The 21,291-nt window shown below is 52.1% G+C and overlaps 1 protein-coding gene across 1 annotated transcript in view, besides 1 other annotated feature; it reads left to right on the top strand.

The window, feature by feature from the left end:
* TMEM63C (transmembrane protein 63C) overlaps window positions 1-21,291 on the top strand; it is a 77,698-nt gene that overhangs the window by 26,376 nt on the left and 30,031 nt on the right. Inside the window, exons 2-6 of the mRNA NM_020431.4 lie at window positions 5,273-5,335; window positions 10,628-10,790; window positions 11,325-11,404; window positions 11,833-11,914; window positions 17,251-17,288. Of these exons, the coding sequence (NP_065164.2) occupies window positions 10,641-10,790; window positions 11,325-11,404; window positions 11,833-11,914; window positions 17,251-17,288 (350 nt within the window). The 5' untranslated portion in view covers window positions 5,273-5,335; window positions 10,628-10,640. The remainder of the gene's footprint in view (window positions 1-5,272; window positions 5,336-10,627; window positions 10,791-11,324; window positions 11,405-11,832; window positions 11,915-17,250; window positions 17,289-21,291) is intronic.
* Window positions 5,143-5,372: an enhancer, noted in NCBI's record as "active region_8797". NCBI's record gives its function as "activates an Ori minimal core promoter by ATAC-STARR-seq in GM12878 lymphoblastoid cells {active_cell/tissue: GM12878}" and the evidence as "EXISTENCE:reporter gene assay evidence [ECO:0000049][PMID:35858748]".

Consider the following 21,291-nt stretch of genomic DNA (forward strand, 5'->3'; position numbering starts at 1 on the left):
AGCTTGATTCATACAGGGAATCGCAGGGTCTCGAAATCACTGGAAGAATTAGAAGCTGGGTCTTCAGAACAGAGCAGAACTGTCCCTCCAGACAAATTACTCCTCACCCAGTCAGGAGGGCCATTACTGGAGCCACAGAGTTCACGTCCTTTCACCTGCTATCTAGGGATGAGAAAACTGCTGCAGCTTTTGCCACAATTGCCTCTCACACCACCCCCTCCCTGGGAGCCAGAGACTGGGCATTGAACTTCCTGCAGAGAATCCCTTCCTGTCCTCGGCATGGCTTGTCAGCAGAACACGGCCTGAGCACCAGGGAGATCGCCTCCTCCTCCCTCTCCTCCCTTCAGCCTTGTAAATCTATCTCCAGCATGTCTAATTGAAGAGCTCTAATCTGTATCCAGAACCCCAGCTGCAAGGGAGTGTTGGAAATGTACCTTTTAACTTTCCAGCTTCTGCAATATAGGAAGGCACAGAGGTGGGAATGGATGCTGAGGGTATCAACCGTGTCCCATATGCAACCTGATAGGTTTAACCCAGTCGACACCTGAAGAGACTTGGCACAGGGCCTGGCATATAGAACTCACTCAATAAGTGTTAGCTGTTATTCTTATTCTTGGGCTGGGGCAGCAGCGAGAATTGCCTGGCCCTGCCCACGAGCCCTGGCAGAGAGCAGCAGAAGCAGAAATGCCTTTGCCCAGCATGGTGCTGTCCATGGTGCTGAGAGCCCAGCTGGACCCAGCCAGGGGCAGCGGGATCATTGCTCTGCTTGCATCGTGGGCCCAATGGAAGGTGGAACTGCAATCCTCTCACCCCATGCTGAGGCTTCAGGAGTGACTGCAGCGGAGGGACGTTTGGGGACCTCTCGGGGAAGGCTGGCTTCGATCCTATGAAGAGGACAGCAAAAGCAACAACTTAGTTTGTGGCACAGTTTACAGAAAGAGTCTCCATGCACTATGCCCTTTAACTAACACTCATAATCACCCTGGTATAGGCAGGACAGATATGATCTTTAAGAAAAAACTGAATAGCAAGAGGTTAACTAGCAGCTGATAAACAATAGAGCCAGATTCACACCCAGTCTCCTTACCTGCAGCTGTATGCTCCCTCCACTCCCTGCAGCGACTGCTGGAGGGAAACTTGGTAGCCAATGTGCGCTATGTGGGGGCAAAAATTTGGGATTCATGTACTCTGTGCACTGTGCAAATGTGTACAAACCACCTACATTTTATTCTTTCCTACCCTTGAGTGTGTCTCTGGGTAAAGGGCCTTCTGTCTCTCATTGAGGCCTACTACGTGATGGTCTTTGGGAGAACCATGAAAAGTATAAGAGAAAGATATGGTCCCTACTATCAAAGAGCCCATGGATTTGTTGGTAAGCTGGCTGCTCACGTGCATGGGAAAATGAGAGGATGGTCCCAGGCAGTGGTTGCAAGGCCAGCTGTGTAAAGAGGGTGGGAACAAGGTTCAGACAGGGCTGGTAATCTGAAAGAGGGTTCAGAGGAGTACAATATAAGCTGGACTCAGGGGCTTTAAATGCTGATGAGACCAAGGCTCACCCAAGTCCAGGAGGAAGTGGCTCAAGCTGTGTAGGGGTGGGGCAAGCAACTCTGAATAAGGGGGCTAGTGGGGCAGAACAGAGGGTACCATGAGGAAGTAGCCAGGCCAGTGGCCTCTAGGGTAATGGGAGGAATACCAGAGCCTGGAACTTCCAGTGAAGAGGTGGTGTGGGCCTCTGTAGATCTTCAGCCAACTCTCCACAGATTCGGGACCAGCTGGGGGTGGGGGCAGAGATTGCATGGGAGGAGAATATAAGGACCAGCCTCACGAACTGCCACACTGTGACATGGTTTAAGAGGCACTGAGGTATCATCCTTTATCCCCAAATCTCTCCACCCTCTCTCCTTATTTAGGAGGAGTGACAAAACTTTTTGGATCATCAAGAACTCCTTCTCTAGGTGCAAATAACCCTGGAAATCTCAGTCTGGTGCTTTTATGTCTTGGCTGCACACAATAATTGGAGATTCTCATGCTTAATGTCTGGGGTGGAACATGAGTATCTAGATGTACTAAACACTGTCTAGGTGATTCCAGTGACCCCCTCCCAGGCTAAGGAGTCACTGAAAGCACTGAGTGGGGAGCCAAAAACCCCCAGTTCTATCCCCAATCCACCACTTTCCCCAGCCTTAAGCAAATCTCCATGTCTGCTGGAGACTCAGTTTCTCCATATGTAAAGCTGAGCAAACCACTCTTTGTTGTGAAGAGTTGAGGAGTTTGAGGATGGTATGGGGCAGGGAAGGGCTTACTGATATTTAGGGAAAGATTTATGGCCAGCAGACATGTCAGTGGTGAAGGACGTGAACCAGAGCCCTTCATTCCAGTGACACACCCTTCCTCTCCCCACACTTCCTCCAATAGTAACCAGCCCCCTAGCCATGAGAGTAAACCTCACTGAGAGGGGGTCCCTCCGTGAGAAGGGGCAAGGGGTGGTGGGGGCAGGGCAGGAGACCTGGAGAAGAAGGAAGAAGGGGAGGTGGGAGTGGATGCCCATGACCAGGAATCCCAGCTTGTTTGTTTAAGTCCAGAACCATGGGAGATAATCTTACCTGTTGTTAACAAAAAGATGATTAATTATTGAAGCTACTGAGAAGGCTAAATGGCAAGGGGGCAGGGTGGGAGCTGTGGCTTTGTGCACTCTGGGGGTCATGGGGTTGGAGAGAAGGTGGGGGTGGCTCCCCAGCCATAGCACCTTTTCCTAGGGCATGGCTTGTGGCTATAGTGATTCTCTAATCCAAACCAAAACACATGTCCTATGGACCAGTTCCTGAGAACTCATGGGGATGGTGGAGCAGACTGGGCCCTGGGCTGTGCTGGGAAATGCAGGCGTAGTGGCTGCAGATCCAGCCTGGGTTCCTGGCTCAGCCCACTCTGCTCTCCGCTGCATCACCCTAAAGGCTAGGGAAGCTGCTGTCCCTGGACTAAAGTTTGAGCAAGGTCATCCCCTTCCTCTGCCCCCTGCTCAGCATGTCCAGAGCAGCAGAGGCTCAGGGGCCAGCAAAGCAGAGGGTTACAAATGGTCTGGCTTCAGGGCCAGCTCTGCCATTCACTAGCACCGTGACCTCGGGCCAGTTAACTTCTCTGGGCCATGACCTTGAGCCAGTTGTTTAACCTCTCTAGGCCTTAATTTTCTCTTGCATTTAGGGATGGTTCTCATACCCTAGGGTACTTATGAGAATTAAATGAGCTAGTACTTAAATAGAAAATATTTAGCTCATATTACTTGCTCTGTAAACGTTAGCTATTAATAAAATTTGTCCCTCCCTGGGCCCTCCTGGACCATCCTAACTCTGGGGTCATCCCTGAGATTTGGCTTTGGCCTTGAGATGTCTAACTCATCTGGAAGGGGAAGTGGGAAGCAAAGTGCTGGCCTTGTTAGTTAGGGCAGCAGTGGATAAAACCAGGCTAGGTCTGGAGGCCTGGGAGTGAGCAGTAGGATGGGGCAGACAGAAAGGCAAAGCTAGCCCTTTTTGAAGCCTTTGCCCAGTTGCCAAAGACAACTTTGCCCAAGCCTAGAACAGCTGAGCTGCCAGCTTTTGGCATAGGAACCCAGGATGGAGGAGAAATGGGACAGGAAGAGGGCCACACACTCTCCCATCAGATAAGATATGCAGCTAGGAGGGGCCCTGAAACCCTGACTCACCAACCAGAATTCACATCATCTCCCACTGCCCCTCCTTGGCCCACAAAGCAAGGCTGACATTTATTTTTTATGCACAGGAAGGACAGAAACAACCACCACCTACCAGCTGCAGTCTGTGGGATAGTGGATGGACCTTTCCATCCTCACATCTCTCCTCTTGCCTGCCCCAGAACAGAGAGGCTGGAAGGAGGAGTGTAGGGACTGTGCAGTCTGGGCCCCTCACCACAGCCTTACAAATAAGCTGAGGAGGAGGAGGATGGCAGCGCTGGCGAATTAAGCAGTCATATTTCTCAAGCACTGTGCAAATGGATTTATGTGAATTATCTTACTTCCCCTTTGCAATAACCCTGTGAGGCAATACTGTTATTATACCCATTTTCCAGATATGGGAACTGAGGCTGAGACAGATGAAGTCACTGCCCCTGGTCACACAGCTAGCAAAGGTGGGTCTGGGATTAAGTCCAGTCAGTGGCTTCAGAGAGCCTGATCCTTCCCATTGCCCCAGACAGCCTTTGTCCTATACTGTGAAAGTGATGTCTAAACAGATGAGTTCTTTGATGCCCCCGCTACGCCCTGCTGGGCTGGTGGCCCTGCTGTGTTTTCTGTTGACATCCTAGAGTTTCTAGCTTCATTCTTTCCAGTGCTGGTGCTTTAGTCTCCAGTAAGCCAAAATCTGGATTTTCTGCCTGTCTTCTTCACACCCAAGAGCTAGCTCTCCCTCCAGAAAGAAGTATGGTCCAGGGAGGGTGAAGGGATGCAGAGAAAAGGCTTGGTGCTGCTTTAGGTTTCCATGGCAACAGCCTCCCTCATTACTGCCTCTGCTTGCTGCCTGGGAAAGCTGAGGAGGGTGGTGAGGTGGGAGAGGGTGAGGATCTTGTCTCCTTTCTTTTCCTCCCTCACTGCCCTGCAGGTTGAGCAGCCAGGTTGAGCTGAAAGCCTGCACCTGACCAACCTGCTGGATGGAATTCCCCACCTCCTGCCCAACTCCAAGCTTAGTGGCTGGGGCCTTGTAACTAGGGGTCCTCCCAGGCAGAAGGGCCACCTGGTCCAAGCCGCCCAACAGCAGTCCTCTCCCTAACCCCAAAGGCTGGGATGTGAACTCCCTAGAGAGGACCTCATGTTTGTACTTCCAGGGGAAATAGATACTCAATGAATTCTTGTTGAATGAATGAATGAATGAACCAATAGTGGTCTATTCTACACTGTAGCCACTGCCATTCATTTTCATTTCCTCAAAACGTTATATTCAGCCTTCCCTCTAGGTCTTTGCCAACACGGGTGCCTCTGCCCACGCTTGCCCATTGCACAGGACTAACTCCTACACCCCTTTCACATCTCAGCTTGGAGGTCACTTTGTCAAAATTCAAAACTTTTACACTTCAAAAGACACCATCAAGACAATTAAAAGAAAAGCAATAGGCCAGGGGGAAACTATTTGCAAAGCAGAGCTCTGATAAAGGACGTGCATTTGAGCATAAAGATGACCAAAGGGGCCCTGAAGGAGGGTGCTGCCAGCAAGGGAGTTCCTGGGTCTGTAAGTCTTGTGGTCTCTCCACCGCGTGTGTTCTTTTGCAGCAGCCCCGTAGCTGGGTGGAGCCTCCGGGCCTGACGTGGACCTTCACTGGAGAAGTGACTCAGGTGGGAAAAGTCTCCCCGGGCCTCTCCACCTGCAGGATCGCCTTCCTACACCTTCCCCCGCCCGCTTCCTTCGCGCGGGCTCCTCCCAATGACCACCAGCAGAACTGCAGCCTCCTGCCTTAGCTGACCTGGAGCCCGAGGTAGCTCAGATGCCAGCTCCTTCCTCCAAGAGACCCTAGAAATGCCATTGGCTGCTACTCTGATGCTCTGGCAGAAGGCATGCCGTTGAAGTGTACTGTGTTCGATGTAAACTATTATGAGTTTGCATCTGGCTAAACGTGCTAGTGAGTTAATTAGCCACCTGGGGTAGAAACAAGAAAACTATGGGTGGCCTAGGCAGAGCTCGATGGAGCAGGAATTAGGGGAACTGAGAAAGACAGGCAAGAGACTCCCGGATCCTGCTAGATGCTAATCTAGAGGGTGGGAGTGGGAGGAGTTTTGTGCACCCCTTCTGTTTCCAGGACTACTCTCAGGCCCTCCATCGCAGGTTCTGGGAGTGAGCACAAGCAGCCCAGACTCCCAGGCCACCTCCTGTCCCCTGCTTCAATCCCTTTACCTTCATTCCTTCTCCATCCCCATCTCTCAGCCCTCCCCAACTCCTGAAACCTTTCCATGGTGCCCCCTGGATCTCCATTCTTCATTTTGCAAATATTTATGTGATGCTCCTTGTGTTCCAGGCATTGTTCTACAAGATGAACACATCCTAACACTCCTCTTAAGAGCCCTGTGAAGTGGGTACTAATGGCTGTTGCCATTTCCACTTTACAGAGGAGTAAAGTGAGGCATGGGGACTGTAAGTGCCTTGCTCAAGGTCACCCGATGAGCGATGAGTGAGCGTTGGAGCTGAGATTCAGTGGCACGGAACCTGTAATCCCCAGAAGCATCCCCAGCTCCTCGGTCTCCTCACCCTCCGACTGGGAGACTCCCCAGTCCAGCTTCCCTTTCCACCCTCTCAGAGGGTGGTTCCTGCTTCCCCTCCAACACCACTGGCCTGGGGATGGAGACGTGTCTTTCTTGTTCCCCTTGGCAACATTGAGACTCTTCCTCCCTGCTTTCTAGAGCCCCCTGTCTTGGACCCACAGGTGTCAACCTAGACATCTTGCTGCCCATCGTTGTTAGTCATCAAGGAGTCCCCCAGGCCACTCTCCCCTTCCCCCCTCACTGTCTCCCCAGTTTTTTTCCTGTCTTCATTCTTGCTGATGTCAATGTCCACATCTCCACAAAGATGATCCTTCTGATACTCAGCCGCTCGCTCCCACGGTCATGTCCTAGACCCGATCACCACCGATAGCCGGAATCTCTTTCATTTCAGCACCAAACATCCCACTTTCAGCATGCCACTCCCTCTGCTCTACACTTACTAGCCGTCCACAATTCTTCTACCTCCCCTTGGAACTCCAGTAGCTTTCCCTGGTCCTCACCCATCTTGCATCTTATTTCTCTCCTGGCTCAAATTCCACAGCAAATCATTACAATTATTCACCTGCTACACCCTCAACCCTCTTGTGTTATGCTCATACTTGCTGGGGGGAAGCCTCTACCCCTACTAAGTCTTCCACACCTGCAACCATACAGGTGAATCCAGCACAGCAAGTCTGGCTGCTCTCGTCAATTCAAGATCATGAGCCTCCACAGGCCCCATTGTTGCCTGGCAATCCTGCTCCATTTCCGTAATCCATCCTCTCTTATTCCCCTAGACTTCTATTTCTACCTTTTTTTCCTGTCACCAAACATCCAACATCCGCCCACCACCACCACCTCACACTGGGCTGAGACCTCATTCCTTCTTTTACTGAGAAACCTGAAGCAAGGCTGGGCATGGGGGCTCGCACCTGTAATCCCAGCACTTTGGGAGGCCGAGGTGGGTGGGTCACCTGAGGTCAGGAGTTTGAGACCAGCCTGGCCAACATGGTGAAACCCCATTTCTACTAAAAATACAAAATTTAGCCAAGTGTAGTGGTGGGCACCTGTAGTCCGAGCTACTCAGGAGGCTGAGGTAGCAGAATTGCTTGAACCCTGGAGGCAGAGGTTGCAGTTAGCCAAGATGGTGCCACTGCACTCCAGCCTAAGCGACAGAGTGAGACTCTGTCTCAAAAAAAAAAAAAAAAAAGAAAAGAAAAGAAAAAGAAACTAGAAGCAGTAAGGACAGAACACTCACTGGCTGCCGCCGCCACTCCTGGGACCAGCCAGCACCTGAGCATGTGTGCTGCCTTCCCTCCCACTCACCCAGCCAACAGCCTGACTCTCAGTAAACATCTCCACTGTGCACTAGTTCCCAAGCCTCCCGCAGTCTCACTTTGCTCCAGCAGTTCCCCCCTCCTCCTACTTCTTCTACTGAATCATTCCCACCACTATACAATGTGTTATTTTTCCCGTCTTAACCACTTTCACCTCCAATTACTCTTCCAGAGAGCTGTTTTTGCCCACTGGCTCCAATTCCTCTCCTGTCATTCTCTCTGGAGCCTATTCCAGTCTGGCCACCTGCACATGGCTTAAACCATGGCTAATTTGGCTGGGCGCAGTGGCTCGTGCCTCAAGTGAAAGAGAGATAGAGAGGGAGATAGAGAGAGAGGAAGGAAGGTAGAAAAGAGAGAGGAAGGAAGGAAGGAAGGAGGGAGGGAGAGAGAGAGAGAGAGAGCAACCATGGCTCATTCACAGTTGTCATCTTTCTTGACCACATCAACACTGGTTCCTCCCTCCTCCTGGAAACATTGTCTTCATTCAACCCAGGACACCACCCTCTCCTGCTTTTCCTCCTTCCTCACTGGCTGCTACTTCTCAGTCTCCTTCTCTGTTTCCTCCTCCCCTGCCCTGTAGATATTGGCGCACCCCGAGGCTCCCACCTTGGATCTCTCCTCTCACTACATTCTCTTCTGTAATTCAGGGCTTTGCCTCGAAGAGTTGTCGCTATGCCAGTGGCTTTTGTCTCACATTTATGTCTCCAGTCTCTTTTCTGAACTGCAGACTAACCTATCCAAATCCCTGCTCCCCGTCCCCACTTAGCATGTTCCAAACTCAACTCTTGGTTTCACCCTTGCACGCACTCCCCCTCCACCTCTACTGTCCATTTCCATCCTGCACTTTCTGCCTCTCCCATTCCATAACAGCAACTCTATCTTCCAGTGGCTCAGGCCAAAAACCTGAGAGTCATCCTCGACTCCTCTCACTCTTTCACATCCCCTATCTAATCTGCCGGCAAATCTTGTTGGCTCCACATTCAGAATATTTCCAAAATCTGAGCACGTCTCTCACCTCCACTGCGCCCATCCCAGTCCAGGCTACCATTGTCTCCTGCCCGGACCCTGGCCGAGCTCTCCGCATCTACTTCTCCACTTGTTCACCCCTCCTGCTCCCCCACCTAGTCTCCATATGAGGATCAAAGAGATCTCATTAAAGCCTGTAATCCCAGCACTTTGGGAGTCCGAGGCAGGAGAATCACTTGAATTCAGGAGTTTGAGACTAGCCTGGGCAACATAGTGAGACCCTTGTTTCTATCAAAAAATTTTAAGAATTAGCCTGGTGTGGTGGCATGCACCTGTAGTCCCAGCTACTCTTGAATATTGCTTGAGCCCAGGAATTGGAGGCTACAGTGAGCTATGATTGTGCCACCGTGACAGAGTGAGGCTCTATCTCTCTCTTAAAAAAAAAAAGTCATTTTAATTCACTCCATGGCTCACTCCCCATGCCCTTTGCCCTGCCCTGTGCAGCCCACTGGTCTGCTTGCTTCCCCAACTCTCCGGGCAAGCTCGAAGCCCAGGGCCTCTCCTCCACTTAAAGTGCTCTTTCCCCAACAGCTGCATGGTTCACTCCCTCAAGTCCTTGCTCAGATGTCATTCTCTCAGTGAGGAATTCCCTAATCACCCCTTTACAATTCTAACCTCACCCTCATCCCTCCACTTTGTCTCCCCAGTAGAATCCCACAAGGGAGGGATTTTTATTTATCTTGTTCACTGGTGCATTTGTCTAGCATAAAGCAGTTGCCCACCAAATATTCAAATGCATCAATGAATGGATGAATGAGTCTACTTTTCTCGAATGGAAGTGAAGGGTTTCCAGGTAGAGGTGAGGTCTGAAGGCAAAATGAATGATCTTTTGAGAGAACAACCACCTTGCAGATAAGTTCAAGTAGCTACCGGACACCTCCCATTTTCACCTGCCCTTCCCACTGTTATCCATGCCTGAGGAATGTGATGCCAGGGACGGCAGGCTCTGCATTGGTGTCTCACCAAAATGTTCAGGCTCACGGAGTTGGCTCAGGTCCCTGGGCAGGTCCTGGTCTCCCTAGTTCAAATGCCTGGAAGACAGAGACCTTTCTAAGCCAGGCATAGAAATAACAAACTCCACATATTTCCAGCTATTTGTGGGGGCAAAAAAATTAAAACAATTGAACTCATGGAGATAGAGAGTAGAAGGATGGTTACCAGAGGCTTAGAAGGATATGAGGGTGGTGGGGAGTGGGGATGCTTAATATGTACAAAAAACAGAATGAATAAGATCTAGTATTTACTAGCACAACAGGGTGACTATAGTCAAAAATAATTTAATTGTACACCTTAAAACAACTGAAAGAGTATAATTGGATTGTTTGTAACCCAAAGGATAAATGCTCGAAAGGATGGATACCTCATTTATCCTGATGTGCTTATATCTCATTGCATGCCTGTATCAAAACATCTCAGGTACTCCATAAATATATACACCTACTATGTACCCACAGAAGTTAAAAAAAAAAGAGGGGGGTGTTTCTTGAGTCACTGCACATGCCAGGCACTGCATTCCCTAGGAGCTATGGCCCTTACCATGGCTGGATGGTGACTGCATCAGAGATTGCTGAATGCAGAGATGATTGTCATTGAGCCCCGTCTGCATGGGCGTTCCGTGAACACAGCGGTTTTGACTTCCAACCTGAACATTTCCACACTGGGGTCTGACCCACATTTGTGAAATTTGTTCATTTATATACAACAAAAACTTCCCAAGGTAGAACTGGAAAAATGCACATTTGGATGTGCATTTTACAACTCTTGTTTCAGGGATCCAGTGGTACAAAATAAGAACTCTCCCAGGAAACGAGAACCAGTCTGTCATCCCGGCCTTGGGTTTGAGGCAGCTGTTCTCTTGCAGGACAGGGCTGTGTGCCGTCTCGTGGGCTGGCCCTCCTGTCTTGGGTCTGAAGTGGCCTAGCCTGGCCGAGGCACTCGGTGCCCATCCCACAACTCCCCATCGGGCTTCTGTGTTTTGCAAAATGCAAGGGAGTCTTTGCATCTGACCTGGATGCCCTCTGTTTCCCAGGGATCCTCCCAGGATGTCTGCCTCACCAGACGACCTGAGTACAGGGGGAAGGTTACAGAACATGACAGTGGATGAATGCTTCCAGTCTCGGAACACCGTCCTCCAGGGGCAGCCCTTTGGGGGTGTCCCCACCGTGCTGTGCCTCAACATCGCCCTGTGGGTGGTGAGTCCTGGGCACTGCAGGAGGCAGACAGTAAAGCCTCAGACAGGGTCGAACTTTCACAGGTGATGCAGTGGGGGACCCAGTTGTCCAAATGGACAACAACAACATTGATACAAACTGCCTGAATGTCAGTCCTGCCTAGGGTGGCCCCGGTAGGTGGGCCTCAAAGAGGCTGGAGGAACAGGCAGAATTCCTGGGATTCTTTTCTGTGCATCATTGTCCAGAGGTTCACCTGGCCTCCTTCCTCTTTCTCATTGCTGAGGTCTTCAAGGCACATTCTGGTCCCATAGATCTGAACATGCCTCCAGCTCCATTCAATGAACTCTGAGCATCCACTCTGTGCCCAGAAGCTGCTGGGCGCTGGCAACCTACAGTTGAAAGGAATGGCCCCTACTCCAACAGAGCTCACCTTCTAGTGGAGGAGCTCCCTGGGGACCTCAGGGACAGGGTCTCCCCCAAGGGAATGCAGGGGGCCAGCCAAGGGGAAGGGATCCATGAAGTCTCCCACCCCACATTGCTTTTCCTGGCCTGTAGCTCGTCCTTGTGGTTTACTCCTTCCTCCGGAAAGCTGCGTGGGACTATGGGCGCCTGGCTCTGCTGATACACAATGACAGGTGAGGAGGGGTCGAGATGGGTGAGCCGTTGCCCCCTTGGGGAAAACCTGTTGCCATGGCCAGGACGCAGCTCTGCCCAGCGCCCGAGCTGCAGCAGGTGTCTCGCCAGCAAGTGGCCTCTGCCCCTGCTCTGCCCTCCCTGCAGGAAGGGGACTTGGAGGGCAGCCATCCCTGGGCACAAGGCCGTGTTTTTCTCTGGTCTTAGACTTTCTGGATCACGTGGCTGAACTCCCAGATGCCTGGTGTACCTGGCACAGGGGCGATTGCTGTCTGTGCCCAGAGCTGTGTGCTCAGCAAAGGAGCTGAGGAGCGCCTGCCCGTGGCAGAGCAGAGGGCAGCCCTCAGCCAGGGAGTGGGGAGGGAGCAGGGCAGGCAGCTGAGAACTTTTCTCTCCTTTCTTACCTCCCTGCCCCTTCCCTGGCTGGCAGCCTGACCTCGCTGATCTATGGGGAGCAGAGCGAGAAGACATCTCCCTCGGAGACTTCCTTGGAGATGGAACGCAGAGACAAGGTGAGTGCTGGGAGCGGTCTGGGCGGTGGGAGTCCCAGCACTGGGCAGGCAGGCGTGGTGTGCACAGGAAGAAACACGGCTTAGACCTTGGGGCTTTGTAATCAGCCAGCCTCAACCACTCTGGCAGTGTGACCTTGAGCAAATTCCTCAGCCTCCCCCAGACTCAGTTTCCCCACCTGAAAGATGGAGTTATTGACCATACCTACTACTAGGGTGCCAAGTAAGTGTTAACGAATTAAGATATCTTAGAGAGATTTTTAACATTAATTTGTCTTCTCTGCTCAAATCTCCAACCCTTCTCACAGTCCCGTCCTGCCCACGTCCCTACCTCTGACTCTGAATCAAGGCCTCACCTCCCATTTCACATAGAAGATTCTAGTCATGTGGTAGGGATTCCCTCAGCCTCAGGCTTCCCAGCCCTGTTTAGTGGAGCGCAGTCTGCTGTTTCCTCCTCTTCCCTGGTGAAGGCCAGCCCTCCACCCGACTCATGCATTCCTTCAGCCACTTGCTGTGTGCCAGCCACTGGTCTGGGAGCTGGGGACCAAGTCCTGCCTCATGGCGCTGTCTTCCCCAGGCAGGGGAGACGACCAGACAGAGGCATGGTGGAGAACGCCACAGGAGGAGGTCAGAGATGGTCTCGGGTAGTGGTGACATTTCGGCGGGGCCCTGAATACTCTGAGAGGGAGCCCTGAGAACGTCCTCCCTCCCCACCCCCACACACAGCTGAACTGACAGTGGCCCATGCTGCTGTCACCACTTCCTCACCTCTCACTCACGCCCCGCCTCCCACTCACGCCCCGCCTCCCACTCACGCCCCGCCTCCCACTCACGCCTCCTCTCCCACCCACGCCTCCCCTCCCACTCTCGCCTCCCCTCCCACTCTCGCCTCCCCTCCCACCCACGCCCCCTCCCACTCTCGCCTCCCCTCCCACTCTCGCCTCCCCTCCCACCCACGCCCCCTCACACTCACGCCTCCCCTCCCACTCTCGCCTCCCCTCCCACTCATGCCCTGCCTCCCACTCACGCCTCCTCTCTCACTTACACCCCACCTCCCACTCACGCCTCCCCTCCCACTCATGCCCCACCTCCCACTCACACCTCCTCTCTCATTCACACCCCGCCTCCCACTCACGCCTCCCCTCCCACTCACGCCCCACCTCCCACTCACGCCCCGCCTCCCACTCACGCCCCCCTCCCACTCACGCCTTCCCTCCCCCTCTCGCCTCCCAATCACGCTTCACCTCCCACTCACGCCCCCTCCCACTCACGCCTCCCCTCCCACTCATGCCTCACCTCCCACTCACGCCTCCCATTCATGCCTCCTCTCCCACTCACGCCTCCCCTCCCCACTCACCTCCCACTCACACCTCCCCTCCCACTCACGCCTCCCATTCACGCCTCCCCTCCTACTCTCGCCTCCCCTCCTTCTAGCGCCTCCCCTCCCCCTCTCGCCTCTCACTCATGCCTCCCCTCCCACTCATGCCCCCCTCCCACCAAGCCTGCCCCCCACTCACTCGTTGCCTCCCACTCCTCCCACTCTCACCTCCCCTCCCTCTCACACCTCCCCTCCCACCCACGCCTCCTCTCCCACTCATGCCTCCTCTCCCACTCACGCCTCAACCTCCTCAAATGTGAGCTCCCGTCCCTCACTCCACCCAGACAACCCTGAAGGTCAGCAGTGGTTCCCCCCACCGCTAAATCCAATGGACTTTTCTCAGTTCACATCTTGCCTGCGTTCTCTGAAACGTCTGACCCTGTAGACCGTCTTTCTCTCTTGCACAGGTGCTCTCCGTTGCATAGGTGATGTCACATTCTTTGGGTTTTCCTTCTGCCTCTCTGTCTGCTCCTCCTGTGTCTCCTTAGCAGACTTCTCCTCCACACCGGGAGTCCCCCCAACCAGCTGATCCCATATCCTTCCCCTCACCCTGACTCCTGGGCAATGACACCCACACTGACAACTTCCTTTGCCATCTCTACACATAAACTTTTAAATTCCTGTCTCCAGCTAATCCTCTCCCACTGGGCCCCAGCCTGATTATTCAATGCCTTTCAAAATACCTCCATATGGATATTGTAGTCATTTGGGGTTCCATTTGTCCAAAACATTTCATGATATCCCACCACACACCCACCTGTTCCTCTGACCTTGGTCTCAGACCTCCCACCATTCTCCCCAGGGTCTCCTCTCCCTCTTACCCAGGTCCCCAAGCATAGCCAATGTGTCTCCACGTTGTGTTGCTTTGACCTTCCCAGCTTTCTTTCTCTCCATCACTCCTACCATCCCCTGGTCCAGGCCTCCATCAGCCTCTTGCCTGGACAACTGCAGTAGCTCTAACTGATCCCTTTAGGTCCACGCTCTAGGGCCCTTATCCATTTTCCACCTGCATCCAGAGAGATTCCCCTGCCTGGGGACATATATTCTGCTGCAGAGACCTTCACTGTCTTCCTAGGGCCTGTGGAATCAATTGCAGATGCTGTGCCGTGGCCTGGTAGTTTGGTCCATCCTCCCTTACTCCTCCCAACTCCCCTATCCCTGCCACATGAGTCCACCGTTTAGCTTCTCAACAGGGCCACCTGCTTCCCTCCACCAGCCCTTTCCCAGGCTCTTCCCTCTCCCCCTTCCGCAGTGGCCCTTCTCTGAGTCACTCACCTTTTGTTGAGATTTCAGCTTAAGCACACTTCCCCAGGGAGCCCTGACCACCCCTCCTGGGTCCAGATCTCTTGTTATATAGCCACAGAAAATGCATTCCTTTTCTTCAACATTTTTAACCCTGTCTGTAACGATCCCTCATCTGCAAGATCAGTCTAGTGTGTCTGCTTTCCGCAGGCCCTGAACTTGGATTTGCTCACCACTGCACCCCACATCCAATCCAGCCTGCCATGTACTTAGCATCTGATGCATATTTGTCAGTTGCGCTAAGTAAGCGGAGCCAAATTCCTTCCATTGTCATCCCTCGAGAGGCGGGGTCCTTCACTTGCTAGAATCTGCCCTCTCCAAAGTGCAGAGCCTCAGACAAGTGACTTCATCTCTTGAAGGCTTCCTGGATAGAAAAAAGGCAGCAACATCTACCTTGCAAGGTGGCTCGCAGGTTTATTCTTGGAAATATCACTTTGATTTTTTTTTTCTTGTTACAATGACAAAAAAAGTTTTATTTTTAAAAATCTAAGAAGATAAATCCTTATGGCAGCAGTGAGGGGGACAAACTGAAGAGGGCGTAAATTAAATTAAATGGAGAACAGAGAGTTCAGTGAGGTGGCCCCCACAGTGTCCAGCCAGGATGGGGAGCCTTCAGCCAGAGCCAGGTGGTGTGGGTGAAGAAAATGGGTCTCACCATGGTTCCCTGAGCAAGTTGGGTCAGGTACTGTTACCCCCAGGTGGCGGGGGCTCAGATAGGTGAAGTGAACTGACAGCTGTCACTCTGTCACGTCAGCTGAGCTGGCTCCTGGGAACTGCAGCCCTGTATCTGCCTCTCATGTGGCTGTTCAGCTGCTGAGCTTTCTGAATGGTTTATGCCTTCAGAGCGATAATGTGTACTCAGGGGAGGGAGTGTGTGTGTGTGTATGTGTGTGCACACACACATGAGAGAGACAGAGAGAGAGAGAGAGATCCACACAGGATATTCATGGCCACGCTTCTACTCATGACCTCTGCCCTTTCCTGGATGACCCATCCTCTGTCTATTCCAGTATACACCTGTGCACCTGTAGTGGAAGGGGCAGAAACACATTCCCAGGAAGATGTGTCCCCAGTGGTACCTAATCATGAGGGACCATCAAGAAAGCTACTTGTTCCCTTAGTCAGTTGCACCCTGTTTGCCCAGCTGAGCCATGGAGACAGACTCTTCATGCAGGAGGGGTGGCTGGACCTCTCTCGGCCCAGCTCTGCTTTGCTAGTTACCCCTCCCTGGGGATGCTCCCCACTGCTGCTGCCACCACCATGCTATTTCCCTTCCTTGCTCTGACTCACACCTGAACATTTATCCTTAATTTAGCTCCCCAGGGCATAGCTGGAGGAATGTCCTGCTGTGAACACCCTCGAGTGGCCATTGTCACCATCAGCCAACCCAACACAGGGAAGGGGACTTAGAAGGTGGGACTTATGCCGAGGGGAGCAAGGGACTTCTATTTCTTTTGTGCCTTCTCAAAAGGAAGCAACGAGGACAGGCAAAAAAGAAACAGATGTCCTTTGCTCCCCTCGGCATAAGGCCCGCCTTCTAAGTTTCCTTCCCTGTGTCAGGTTGGCTGATAGTTGCTTCCTTTTGGGAAGTACCTCTTCCCCAGTCCATGTGGTTCCAGAGGACTATCAATCAAGAGGTCTGCCTGGTTCACAGAAGTGCACATGACCCAAATGGGGCCAATCTAGAGCTGTAACCTTGTGCAAGGTTTTGCTAAGTCCTCTGGGATCCCAGAAGGAAGCAGGCACCAGAGTAACTTCACCAGCTACCAGAGCTGGCAGCTTTTAGAGCTGCAGGCCCCAGCCCCCTCTCTTACACACCGTTCCAAAGATGACTCTCTCTCTAGTCCCCCACCAATCTCCCCATGGCTAAGGCCACCTTTCCCCACCACCCAGAAACTCCAGACAGCAAGACCCCAAGAGAAAGGCCTCAACCGGACAGGACCCTCAGCACATGGCATCAAAGATGCCACCAAACCACGCCAGGTTTCATGATGTTTACTGAGGTGCAGGAATTCAGAGGGAAAGAGACCTTCCTCCTTGCAACACCCATATCAATCCCCTTAAGGGATTTTTTTTTTTAATTTTAATAAGTGGGGTCTTGCTGTGTTGCCCAGGCTGGACTCAAACTCCTGGGCTCAAGTGATCCATCTGCCTCAGCCTCTTGAGCTGCTGAGATGACAAGTGTGAGCCACCATGCCTGGCTTCCTTAAGGAAATTTTAATTGGCCCCACTTGGGTAAAGTTCCCATTGGCCAGTCAATCACTGGAGGCAAACTCCCACTCGGACAGAGTAAGAGTAGGAGCCCACTGGACCACACGCATCCAGTGAAGGACATTTCCAGAAGGAAGCATGAAGGACAGACAGAGAGCAACAGACGTTCACCCCAGAAGCAGTCACTTCTCCCCCTCCAGTTCAAGGGTCACCTTCTAAACCCCATTTCCTATAACAGGAGGGCAGAGATGTCCACTCATTTCCAGGGAAGCATCTCCCTCCACAGTCACCACTGGTTCCCAGCTGAGCCTTCAGACTCTTTTTCCCAGGAAGGAGGCCCCGGACGCTGCCGCGGCTGCCTCAGATGACCTGGCCGCCTGGGTTCCCAGAGCTGGGCAGGGCAGGCCAGGACCTGGGTTTTCTCACAGTTTCTCTCCTTTCCCCGCAGGGATTCTGTTCCTGGTTCTTCAACAGCATAACAATGAAGTAAGTGCCCGGGCTCTGTGAGCTTGTGACCGTGTTGCCTTGGGGGTGGGGGGTGGAGGCTCCTGGAAAAGTTAGCAGCCCCCAGCCTGGGAAGACAGGGCCTGAGCTCCGTATCCTCCCCGCCACCTCGGCCCATTACCAGTGAAGGATGCTTTCCTGGGGTACAGTTGGTGACGTGAGAACTGGGCACAGCCCACTGCCCCTGTTATCTCTGCCTCAGTCCTTAGGGAAGGACCACTTTTAATAGCTGAATCATTACTCGCGTGCTTATAGAAATGCTTCTGTGAACTCCACACCAGGAAAAAGAAACCCTTCCTTTGTGCTATCTGCTTGATTTCTGTGAACATCATTCAACATATCATGTGTTCGCCCTTCTGCCCAAGCAAACATCGGGCAGAAGGGCAGGCCTCGCTCGGCCTCAGTGCCTGGAGAGCAGAGGGGCAGCCCTTGCCCACCTCACCTTGTGGGTTTCTTGAATGCCAGACCCCACTTTGCAAGCAAGCAGCCCCCAAGTCACCTGTTTTCTCCTGCAAGCTGACCTCAAGTTACGTGTTTTCTCCTGATTCCCCAACACCAGCCAGACGCTTCAGCAGAGCAGACACTTACCGGAACTCTATGTTCCCACTGCGTAGGCATACACACATGCACACTCATACATACACGCACACACACGTACACGTGTGCACACAGCTCTGCCTCCACCTCAGACCCCACACACTCATGGGCTCTCCCTCAGTGTGCTCCACCTGTCCTGTCCTGCCCATCCTTTAAACCCCTCCACCCCACCCCTACCCAAAGACTCCTATCACAGAGGCCCCTCTGTCAGGGACCCAGCATCTGGGAAAGCAGGAAGGCAGGGCATTGCACCGTGCATCCAGCAGCTCTTGAGAGCAGTGTCATAGAAGACAGCTTAATGCGTTTACTGAGCAGCAATAAGTCAAGTAGCGTCCCCGTGCACAAACCCATGCGGTCTGGTTGGAGAAACAAAGGTGAACAAGACTCCCTTCGTAGCATTCAGAATGGGAGGGTTATAATTGCTGTGCAGACGGCATGTGGGGAAGAGAGAAATTAATTCCAACTGGAAAAGTATAGTTTTGAGCTGGGCATTGGAGGACAGGAAGAGTTTCGACAGGCGCGATGTGGGATGTGGAGGGCACATCAGAAGTAAAGGACCGTGTGAGCCAGTTTGTTGCAGAGATGAGTAGGGTGTGCACAGACATGGTAAATCTGGTGTGACTAGAAGCAAGGTTTCATGGTAAGTGTGGCGGGGGAGGGTAAAAGATTGGGCTGGAAGGATCAGTTGGGATTTTTTTTTTTTTTTTTTTGAGACAGAATATCTCTCTGTCACCAGGGTGATGTGCAGTGGCACAATCTCAGCTCACTGCAACCTCCGCCTCCTGGGTTCAAGCAATTCTCCTGCCTCAGCCTCCCGAGTAGCTGGGATTAGAGGCACGTGCCACCATGTCCAGCTAATTTTTGTATTTTTAGTAGAGACGGGGTTTCACCATGTTGGCCAGGCTGGCCTCAAACTCCTGACCTGAGGTGATCCACCTGCCTCAGTCTCTTAAAGTGCTGGGATTACAGGCATGAGCCACCGCACTGGGCCTCAGCTGGGACCTTGGCTGGCATACTGAGAATCTTGGGCTTTCATCTAGAGACAGTAGAGAGCCAATTAGTATTTTTAAGCTGGAAACTCAGAACAATATATGTGTGTAGGCAGAAGTATGGAGAGTGAATGGCATTAGAGAAAGTCCAAAGTCAAGGTGAGCAGTTAAGGAGGCTATTCCAATGGTCGAGGTGGGAGGTGCTAGTGACCTGAACCGGGGCAGTGACTAGAGAAACAATGGGAGGGGAAGATGGGAGGGAGATCATAAGGCTACAGTCAGTAGGTTGTGGCCTAGTTAAGAAAGAGGGAGAAATTGAGGTCTGGTTTCTGGGGAGGGTAGTAATGCCATTAGGTGGGAGAGGAAACACAAAATGATGAGATGTAGTCAGGGCAAGTATGCAAGCTGACAAAGGAGCTGTTGAAAAAACAAGATTGAAGCCTAGGAGAAAGGTCAGAGTTAGAGATTTCAACTTGGGAGATGGTGCATGGAGGCTGTAGTTGAAGTCATGGGAGCAGATGGGTCATCCAAGGATGTAAGACCAGAAGCGGCCCAAGGGAGTGCCTCATCGAGGCGGGAGGAAGAGGCATCCTCTGGGCTGGACTCAGTGAAGCCAGGCCAGGACAAGGCTCCCCTCTAGGGTGGGGCGACCCAGAAACCTCTAGTGCTACAGAGGTGGAGTAGAATGGGGGTTGAGGAAAGGACATTGACTTTGGTGAGTTGGGTCTCTGTTGGGAGGGCAGGCCGAGGATAGGATGTCCAAGACACAGAGGCAGAGAAGGAAGGTCACCTTTTTCCAGAGGTGCATGGAAGGAGGGAAGTGAAGCTACTGGAAGGAGGAGGGAAAACAGGTCAGGGAACAGATCAGAGAGTGGATCCTTGAGGAGCTGTTTTATTACAGAGGAACCAACAAGCACTTGAGCCTGGTTGTAGTTTACAGGGAAGAGGTGTGGGTGGACGCAGGTGCATGCAGAGAGAGGAGGATGCCGAAGATGAGAGAGCAGAACAATGGATCCAGCACGTCTTCAGAAAGAGGTGGAAGGAAGGGAAGCAATGAGAGCAGAGACAGAGAATTAATTGTGAGTAGGAAGAAGGGCGATTGGCTGGAAGGTCAGGGTGGGGCACTTACAAGAAAGATGGAGAAAGGAAACAGGCCTAGTGGTGGAGGCAGGAATTCCTGGCCCAGGAAGAGAATTCTAGTGCTCTCAGTGCCATCCAGTCCTGTCCAGCCCTCTGCTCTCTCCACCTGATTGGAGGCTCCTGGACCTCACCCCGCCTCAGGCAGTGCAAGAGGACCTTCCCCCGCTCTCCAGAAGTTCTCATCCATTCCACTTCTGGCATTTCATTCTCAAGTCCAGGGAGGGAAACGTTTAGCCGCTCAAAGTTAAAAAATCAAGAGCTCTAAATAATTCCTCAAATGAGAACATTGAAAACCTTGAAGGTGTGCCTTTTGTAGTATTGTTTAAAAATAAATCTTTTTTTTTTTTTTAAGACGGAGTCTCACTCTGTCGCCCAGGCTGGAGGGCAGTGGTACGATCTCAGCTCACTGCAACCTCCGCCTCCCACGTTCAAACAATTTTCCTGCCTCAGCCTCCCAAGTAGCTGGGATTACAGGCACGTGCCACCATGCCTGGCTAATTTTTATATTTTTAGTAGAGACAGGGCTTCACCACGTTGGCCAGGCTGGTCTTGAACTCCTGATCTCAAGTGATCTGCCCATCTTGGCCCCCCAAAGTGCTGGGATTACAGGCATAAGCCACTGCACCCGGCCTTAAAAATAAATCTGAATCCCAGACTGGATGCTAGTTTTGCATACAACCTACAATCCTGACAAGGGGGCAGGGGTGGGTAAACCATGGTGTGTCCACCAGTGGAGTGGGGAGGCCTGCATGGTGCTGAGCATGAACCAGTGCTCCATCAACAGAGGCCACTGTCACCATTACGTAAAACCATCGGAAAATGCTTGAGATTAAATGCCAAGCAAAAGAGCAGTGCATCAAATGCTTTTTATAACTATAATCACCAAGTAAAATGAACACAACAAGAAAATAAAGGAGGTTGGGCATGGTGGCTCACACCTGTAATCCCAGCACTTTGGGAGGCCAAAGCGGGCAGATCATTTGAGATCAGGAGTTTGAGACCAACCTGGCCAACATGGTGAAACTCCGTCTCTACTAAAAATACAAAAATTTGGCTGAGTACACACCTGTAATCCCAGCTATTTGGGAGGCTGAGGCAGGAGAATCACTTGAATCTGGGAGACAGAGGTTGCAGTGAGCCAAGATCATGTCACGCACTCCAGCCGGAGCTATAGAGTGAGACTCTGTCTCAAAACAAACAAACAAACAAAAATTAAGTCCAAATGCTTATTATTATCATTATTATTATTTTGAGACAGG

Source organism: Homo sapiens, chromosome 14, assembly GCF_000001405.40.
Source record: "Homo sapiens chromosome 14, GRCh38.p14 Primary Assembly".
Classification (NCBI taxonomy): domain Eukaryota; kingdom Metazoa; phylum Chordata; class Mammalia; order Primates; family Hominidae; genus Homo; species Homo sapiens.